At 45.6% G+C, this 8,394-nt stretch overlaps 1 long non-coding RNA gene across 1 annotated transcript; it reads right to left on the reverse strand.

Moving 5' to 3' along the window:
• Positions 1-295: 295 nt before the first annotated feature.
• Positions 296-5,732, reverse strand: LOC105378504 (uncharacterized). Its single transcript, XR_946348.3, has 3 exons — positions 5,579-5,732; positions 4,952-5,022; positions 296-1,968 (listed from the first exon to the last, which is right to left on the reverse strand). It is a non-coding gene; the product is annotated as an uncharacterized LOC105378504 (long non-coding RNA).
• Between the last annotated feature and the right edge of the window lie 2,662 nt (positions 5,733-8,394).

The following is an 8,394-nucleotide window of genomic DNA, read 5'->3' on the forward strand; positions in this document are numbered from 1 at the left end:
AGTGAGCTGAGATCACAACATTGTACTACAGCTCGGGCGATAAAGCAAGACTCCATCTCAGAAAAAACAAACAAACAAACAAAAAAACTCACCTCAAGTGTTTAGCCTGCTGGTTCATCAAGTGCCAATCAGCTCTCATAGCTGACTTGCTTAAATCAGCTCACAGCATGAGGTGAGGCTCTTGGCCACTGTAAATCCCTCCAATTGAAAGGGAGGGCAGAGCCAGGGAAATGCTATTTTGCCTTTTTGTTTTGTGATCAGTAAGAAGAAGCCCATCAGAGGTAGTAATCAGATTCTAGAGTTTGTCATTTATGCATGAATTCAGCAGTGTGTTTGACAGAAAATTCCAGTGAATCCAGCAGAGTTGGGGTAAGGAGTCAAGATCTCACTGGGTTTTTATGACATTTATTGAAGATCTTCATATAGTATTAAATTAAAAAAAGGCAAGAAAAAACAAAGCAAGACTTTTCAGTAAAACTTCTCTGTCATTTCTTATTTTGAAGACTGGGAAATTTCCAAAGTAACTTAGAACACATTTGCTAAAAGGTCTACAATGGTGGGGGAGGAAATTTTCCCTATGAAAAGATTTATCGCATCCTTTCTCTTGGGATTCATATGTAACACATAGATGTATGACAATAGCTCAGGATTCATTCGAAAGGGAAGAACAATTAACACATGTGTTAAGTTTGCTCTGGCTGTGTGCTCAGCAGTATTCTAGGTTTTGTGGGAAATCAAAAATGTGCGAGGCAGTTTTTGCCATCCAATAATTAACAATCCAGATGGAAGTTGGAAACTCACACATGGAGAGCCTCGTATTGGCTGATGGAATGAGTGGTTCCATAAGCAGCAGTGTCTCAGGAGCTCTGTGGATATACACCAGGCGGTCTCACTGCCTCTTGTCCCCACCCAAGTCTATCCCTGATAAGTGAAACCATGGGCTCACCCTACTGTGGGCCCCTCCTCTCCTCACAAGCCTTCGAGACTTCTCTCCTGTGCAGTCACTTCACTCAGAATGAAATGCAAACTCTTCCCTTCGACACTGAAGGTCCTCCTCAGTTTCATCCTTCTTTGTCTTTCCAGCGGGATCTCCTCCTTCCTCCCTCTGTCCCTTACACACACAGGCATGCACAGGTGCGTACGCACACACACAGCACATTCAAAATTCCCTGAAACACCACCTCCAAGAATTCCCATATTTTTCCTTTTTGAATGGAGGATCATGTGGTATAGGAAACAAAACAAGCGTGGGCCCCCAAACGTTTTGCATTTGAATTTTCGCCATCTGTGGACTGTCTGACCTTGGGTAATCCATGTAGCCTCTATCAGCCTGACTTTACTTATCTACAGAATGAAGATAAAAATCATGCCCACTCTCAGAGTTGATGAGATAGGACATTTGTAATGTGATTACTGTGTGGCTCCTTGTGGCCCTCCAACTCAGTAGCTGATTTTCTAATCCTGGCCTGATTTGATTGACTCCCTATCCCTTCTGCCCCAAGGTTTAGGAACACAGCTCGAGAAAATGAAAGAGAGAGTCCTGAGCAGACAGAGATGAGCATGGCAGGAGCTCAGGGAGCAAATGGAGACTGGAAGCTGAAACACTGGGGTCAGCACTAAGAGAGCAAGATGGGGGACTTCGTGCTGCAGCTTCCTGGCTTCCTGGTTCCTTCCCCGCCCTCGTCCTCCTTCCTTCACTCACCGATTCCAGGCCCTTTTAAGGCTACCCAGAGCAACCTCGCCCAGTAAACTACACTCTCTCAGGCCTTGACTGAGGCTGTGTTGACAACCACTAAAGTTGCCACTTAACTCCAGCTCTTTAAAAGTCCGATTTCATAACAGGATGATGTGATCCCGGCAGCATTTGCGAGGTGCAGCTGCCTGTGTGTAATCAGGCACAGACCACAGCAGTGTGCGTGGCAAGCATTCTGTTCCAAAGTTTCCTTCAGTTTCTTGAATTCTATCAGTCTGAAAAGTGAAAGGAAACAGCACTGAAGGCCTTTAGGGTCAAGATAATGGTGGGAAATGACAGGGAACTCCATCAAGAAATCAAATATCCACTGAATTTATAATCCATATTTAATATGGATTAAACATTAGAGTATTTCATCTCCATGCTCACAGGCGTAATATTCTAATCGCACAGGGACTAAATACTGCCCCTTCCAAAAAGAAAATCTGCTCTGGTTCCTATGCAACTATGCATCACTGTGTATCCTAAACACAGCCAACACAGTATAAAGGCTTAACACGTGGGCAGCTTTCCTCTGTGATCTGCCTTTGTGAACCTCCTTTCTGGTAATGGCTAACACACTTATGCTGAGACATAGAGGGCCTCCTTTAGAAATGATCAAAGCTGTGAGAAAGAGAATTCAGGTGAGCACTGGCACATGACTCTGGTGGGATGACGTGCTTGAATCTGGCCCTGCAGCAATAGAATTAGTTTTCGAAACAGAAGAGAACTACAGATCTCTGTGTAGTTCAGTCTTCTTGCTCCTTTCTGAGGACATTTTCATTCCACAGGGAATCTGGTCACCATGCTGAAAGTTACCAGAGTGGGCTGAAATCTCCCCAACACACAAATGGCCAACATTCTTCATAGTAATCCATTCTGCTCATAAGGAAGGAACCCAGGCTCCAGGGACTCTGTTCCTCTCACAAGTGATATTTTCCTATAATAAACACAGCAGCTGCCATTTATTAAGCACATAGTATGTGCCAAGCACAATACTAAGAGCCTTACGTCATGGTCATTAGGTCGAATGGCAGGACAATTATATTATATTATATATTATATTATAGGCAAAAACTGTTGTTATAAACTTTTTTTTATGACAGAGTCTCACTCTGTCACCAGGCTGGAGTGCAGTGATGCAATCTCAGCTCACTGCAACCTCCACCTCCCGGGTTCAAGCAATTCTCCTACCTTAGCCTCCCGAGTAGCTGGGACTACAGGCACATGCCACCACGCCCAGCTAATTTTTGTATTTTTTTTTAGTAGAGATGGAGTTTCACCATGTTGGCCAGGACAGTCTTAATCTCTTCACCTTGTGATCCGCCCGCCTTGTCCTCCCAAAGTGCTGGGATTACAGGCGTGAGCCACCGCACCAGGCCATCAACATTTTACAGATGAGAAAGCCAAGTTCATGGAGGTTAAGTAAAGAACACACAGAAAGAGAGGGAGCTGGGGATTCAAATCATACCATCAGTTCCTTTGAACGGTTTAGTCTGAGAACAGTCATTCTCTTGCAGCCTACACCAGGCTTGGCTTCACCAACCAGAAACTTCCAGAAGAGGTCGTATATCCACTAATATGATGTATGAAGACTTCCAGCCCACCAGGCCACGGGGAAACTTGGTCGCCCCGTAAGTCCCATGAGTTCTATGTGTTCTCAAGAGCAGGTCCCTCATGTCCCCCTGCCCGGCCCCCTGGCCCAGTACCTCGCCACTCCTGCTACTGCACCCTGGGAATGGCTGCCTGTTATGGCTTGGCTGTGTCCCCACCCAAATCTCATCTTGAGTTGTAGCTTCCATAATTCCCACGTATTGTAGGAGAGACCCAGTGGGAAATAATTGAATCATAGGTGCAGTTTCCCCCATACTGTTCTCGTGGTAGTGAATAAGTCTCACGAGAGCTGATGGTTTGATAAGGGGTTTCCCCTTTTGCTTGATTCTTGTTGTCTCTCTTGCCTGCCACCATGTAAGACACCCCTTGCTTTTCTGCCATGATTGTGAGGCCTCCCCAGACATATGAAACTGTGAGTCAATTAAACCTCTTTCCTTTATAAACTACCCAGCCTTGGCAGCGTGAAAACAGACTGATACACTGCCTCTGCCAGTGACTTCTCCTAACACCAGCACTGTGGACTGGGGAGGGTGGCCTGCCCTCCTCTTCACTCTTCTGCCTCAAGTGTGAACCAGGCTGTACTGATTTGCTAGGACTGCTAGACGGAAGATTAAGTGGTTTAAACAACTCAAGTGTGTCTTCTCACAATTCTGGGGGCCAGGAGTCTGGCCTCAAGGTGTCAGCAGGGTTGATTTCCCTCGAGGCCTCTTTCCCTGACTTGTAGGCAGCTGCCTTCCTGCTTAGTCCTCTGGTCTTCATTCTGCATGTCTGTGTCCTAATCTCCACTTTTTACAAGGACACCAGGCATGTTGGGTTAGGGTGTACCCTAATGACCTCATTTTAACTGAATTACTTCCTTAAAGCACCTATTTCCAAATAAAGGCACATTCTAGGTGCTGGGGGTTAGGACTTCAATATGTGAATTGGTGCGGGACACAAGGCAGCCCATAACACAAGCCCTTCCTTTAATTTTCACAGCAGAACAGCTACCATTGCACACTTTTTAAGAGGGCTTTACTAATCGTTTGGAGAATATGGAAGAAAGCACCACTACAACTACTTCTGCATAGAGGTGCTCTCAAAAGTTGCAAGTCTAGACCAAATCCCCTGGCCACTTGAAAGGAGGTTAGCTTGCTTAACACCCTCCCTACAGGGCGCAGTGGCTCACGCCTATAATCCCAGCACTTTGGGAGGCTGAGGTGGGCAGATTACCTGAGGTTGGGAGTTCGCGATCATCCTGTCTAACATGCTGAAACCCTGTTTCTACTAAAAACACAAAAATTAGCCAGGCATGGTGGTGGGCACCTCTAATCCCAGCTACTTGGGAGGCTGAAGCAGGAGAATTGCTTCAACCCGGGAGGCTGAGGTTGCAGTGAGCCGAGATCATACCATTGCACTCCAGCCTGGGCAACAGAGCAAGACTCCATCTCAAAAAACAAACAAACAAACAAACAAAAAACACCCAACCTGTCTACACTTGGCAGTGACCAACCACTCTCTTATGCTGTTGAAATCAAAATTACTTCTGCACCTTAGAGTCCAGTCCCAACCAGGGAGGTCCAGGGAGAGAAAGAAGTTTTTCTGACTCTTGGCTGTTGGTCTCACCTCTCCAGTTCTCCCTTCCTCTTCCAGGAGTAGCTCCTTCTGGGGTGACTGAGTTTGTCAATATTCATTCCCTGATGGAAAAAACACACACACTACCCACAAAAGAGTGATCTCTGCAGCTCATAGCTGGACAGTTAAATCAGACATAATCATTCAATATCAGTACATTTCCCAGGGTCTAGATGCTCGACTCTTAAAAATACTTAGTGTCTGCCGTGGTGATTCATGCCTGTAATCCCAGCATGTTGGGAAGCCAAGGAAAGAGGGTCGCTTGAGCTCAGGAGTTCGAAGCCAGCCTGGGCAGCATCCTACTAGATGCCATCATTTGAGCCCAGGAGATGGAGGCTGTGGTGAGCCAAGATTACACCATTGCTCTCCAGCCCAGGTGACAGAGTGAGACCCTGTCTCAAAAACAAACAAAAACCCCACCTTCTCATCTTGGGAGCCTTCTCTCTCCACCAGCCTGACGGGTGGCTTAGTTTTCTGTGGCTGCTAAAAGTAATTCCAAGTGTGCTGAACACTGTGGAAGAGACTGCCAGCTACCCCAAAGGTTTCTGTGTCTCCTTTAGTGCAGAGACAGCCCCTACCTCCCCTGTATCTAGGTAAGACAACATGATTGAGTCTCACCAGTGGAATGTGAGTGAAAATAAATAACTTTGGGACAGAAGAGAAGCAGGTGGGTCTTCTTCACCATCTTTCCTCATCCACTGGCCAGGCATAAAGTTCATCAAGGCCCTAGGAAAGGGCAGAGACACAAGAGGGAAGGAGCCTGGGTCCCTGAGCCGTTATGTAGAATGTCAACTGCCAAACCGACAGTTTGCTAATTGACAGGATTGTTATAGAAGTGAGAAATTCACTTATGTTGAGTGAAGCCACTGAAATTCAGGCTTGCATTACTTATTTACTTTGACAAACACAAAAGCCAACAGGACAACCTAGCTGGAACCTCCCTGGGTCAGGTCCAGGTTCTCTTCTCGCGCCTCCTCCACCGCAATGAGCAGCCACACAGCCTTCACATAGTCTTGCACGCTTCCAGCCATGATAGCTGTGAACTTGTCCAGGATATACACGCCTCCCCATGACAAGCAATAAGTTCAAGGTACACCCATTCGTGAAAAGAAATATCTCAGAGTTTCCTATACCAGTCATAATCAACATTTAATGTCTACCCCTGAGGAAAATTAACCTGCTTATAGATTTAGATAAATGTTCTATTTTGTTTTGCTTTTCATTCTTGCCCATTGATGTTTTTAAGAATCTTGCTATGCACTGAAGGTCTGTGCCCCTCTAAAATGTGCATGTTGAATCCCTAACATGAGACGTGATGGTGTTTGGAGATGGGGCCTTTGGGAAGTGACTAGGTTTACATGAGGTCATGATAGTAAGGCCCCCATGGCAGGGTTAGTGCTCTTAGAAGAGAAGAAGGCCAGAGTGAGCTCTCTCTCTCCCTCTCTCTCTCTGTCTCTCTCTCTCTCTCTCTTGCTCTGTCTCTCTCTCTCTCTCTTGCTCTGTCTCTGTCTCTCTCTGCCATGTGGGGGCACAGCAAGAAGGCAGCCACCTGCAAATAAGGAAGCGGACCCTCACCAGGAACTGAACTGCCCTCACCCTGATTGTGGACCTCTCAGCCTCCAGAACTGTTAGAAATAAACGTCTGTGGTTGAAGCCATCCAATATGCGGTATGTTGTTATATCATGTTGTATTTCGTTATAGCAGCCCGAGCTGACTAAGGCAAATCTTGAGGTAAAATCTTGGCAGAACTCTGCCTCTTTCTGCTTTTAGGGGAGATCTTCTCATCTTGGGGGTCTTCTCTCTCCACCAGCCTGATGAGTGGCTTAATTTTCTGTGGCTGCTAAAAGTAATTCCACAAACTTAGTGTTTTAAACAATACAAACTCATCATCTTACTGTTCTGGAGCTCAGAGTCTGACAAGAATCTCACTAATCTCAAACCAAGGTGTCAGCAAGACTGTGTTCCTTCTGGAGGGTCTACGGGAGAATCCATTTCCTTGCCTTTTCCAGCTTCTAGAGGATATCTGCATTCCTTGGCTCATGGCCCTTCCTCCACCTTCAAGGCCAGCAGCATTGGGCCAGGTCTCCTCTCAGTCTGCTGTCTCTCTGATTTTCTGCAGCCAGGACCCTTGTGATGGCATTGGCCCCAAATGGATAATCCAGGATCATCTCCTATCCCAAAGTCCTTAACCTTAATCACATTTGCAAAGTCTCTTTTGTCATGTAAGGTAACATATTCACAGGCTAGGAGGATTAGGATGTGGCTCTCTTTGGGATGTGTCTATTATTTTGCCCATCACTGTGAGTTCTGCGCCCTCACATATCTTCCCAAGCCAGTTTGTAAAACACTAAAAGAAAAGAAATCCCAAACCTCCTGCATCTGTCTGAAAAGCTGTTGCTTTGTTCTTGAATCACTATTTGTGCCTCAATGTTCCATAGAACCACTAGTCTTAGTTCAGTGTTTGGGCAAATGGAAACAGAATCCAAGTGCATCTAATTCCCTGCACAGTCCCTGGCATAGGCATAGAGAGAATCAGGCTGGGGCCTCATGAAGAGCAGCCTGGTGAAATAAAAGCAAATCCTGGTAAGTGGGCTTTGGGTTGACTTTCAGGATCAAAACTGGGTTTTCTCCTTTGTATAAGACGGGGAGGCAAAAAGGATTTTCTGGGTGCCTCCAAAGCCTCCTTCAGTTTTCTCCTCCTCCAGAGTCTGTGACGTGTGTGTTTGCACTCCATTCTCATCTCAGCACTCTGTTCAGTCCACTCTCTCCCCCACTAGTTGACAGCTGCCATGGAAATGCATTCTCAGGGTCCTGCCTCTATCCTTCTTTTCTCATCTGTCATTTCTCAATTCTTTCTTAAACTCGCCAACTGCTGTAGATTTCACGACCATCCTCTGGATTCATTCCTTGCATTTTTGTTTTCAGAATTCCCCCTGGGACTTAGACATTCACTCAATTCAGATGCCTGGATCATTTGAGACATGATCCTTCTATAATTGTAATATGCCTGGGCTTGCGCTTGCTGTATGATTAATCAAGTTATGACCTCGGCAACACAGGCTTGTTCCAAACTTTTATAAGATGCCTGGGAGTTCCAACCCTATTTGGGGGAAGATATAAATAGGAATTGTTCATTTAAAAGTCCTCCCAGGTGTTGAAAAGTAATCACCCAGTAACACCAAGGTACAGTATTAATATTTTTTCCAGAGAGACTCTATTTCTACTTGCAGATTTGCAGATCTCATATTTTGCAAAGCTGGATGGAAGTCTTCATGCTCACATCAATCAACGCTTATCTTTCAAACAGGCTTCTGGTCCTGGATCAGTGGAAAATTAATTTCATAATAGAACCATGGCTTTCTTCTTGGGAATTTGAGATGTTTGTTCATTGCCAAGAGCACGGGGTTGTAAAAGATAGTCCTTCATGTAACAG

The sequence above is a fragment of the Homo sapiens genome, chromosome 10, assembly GCF_000001405.40.
Source record: "Homo sapiens chromosome 10, GRCh38.p14 Primary Assembly".
In the NCBI taxonomy this organism is placed as follows: Eukaryota; Metazoa; Chordata; class Mammalia; order Primates; family Hominidae; genus Homo; species Homo sapiens.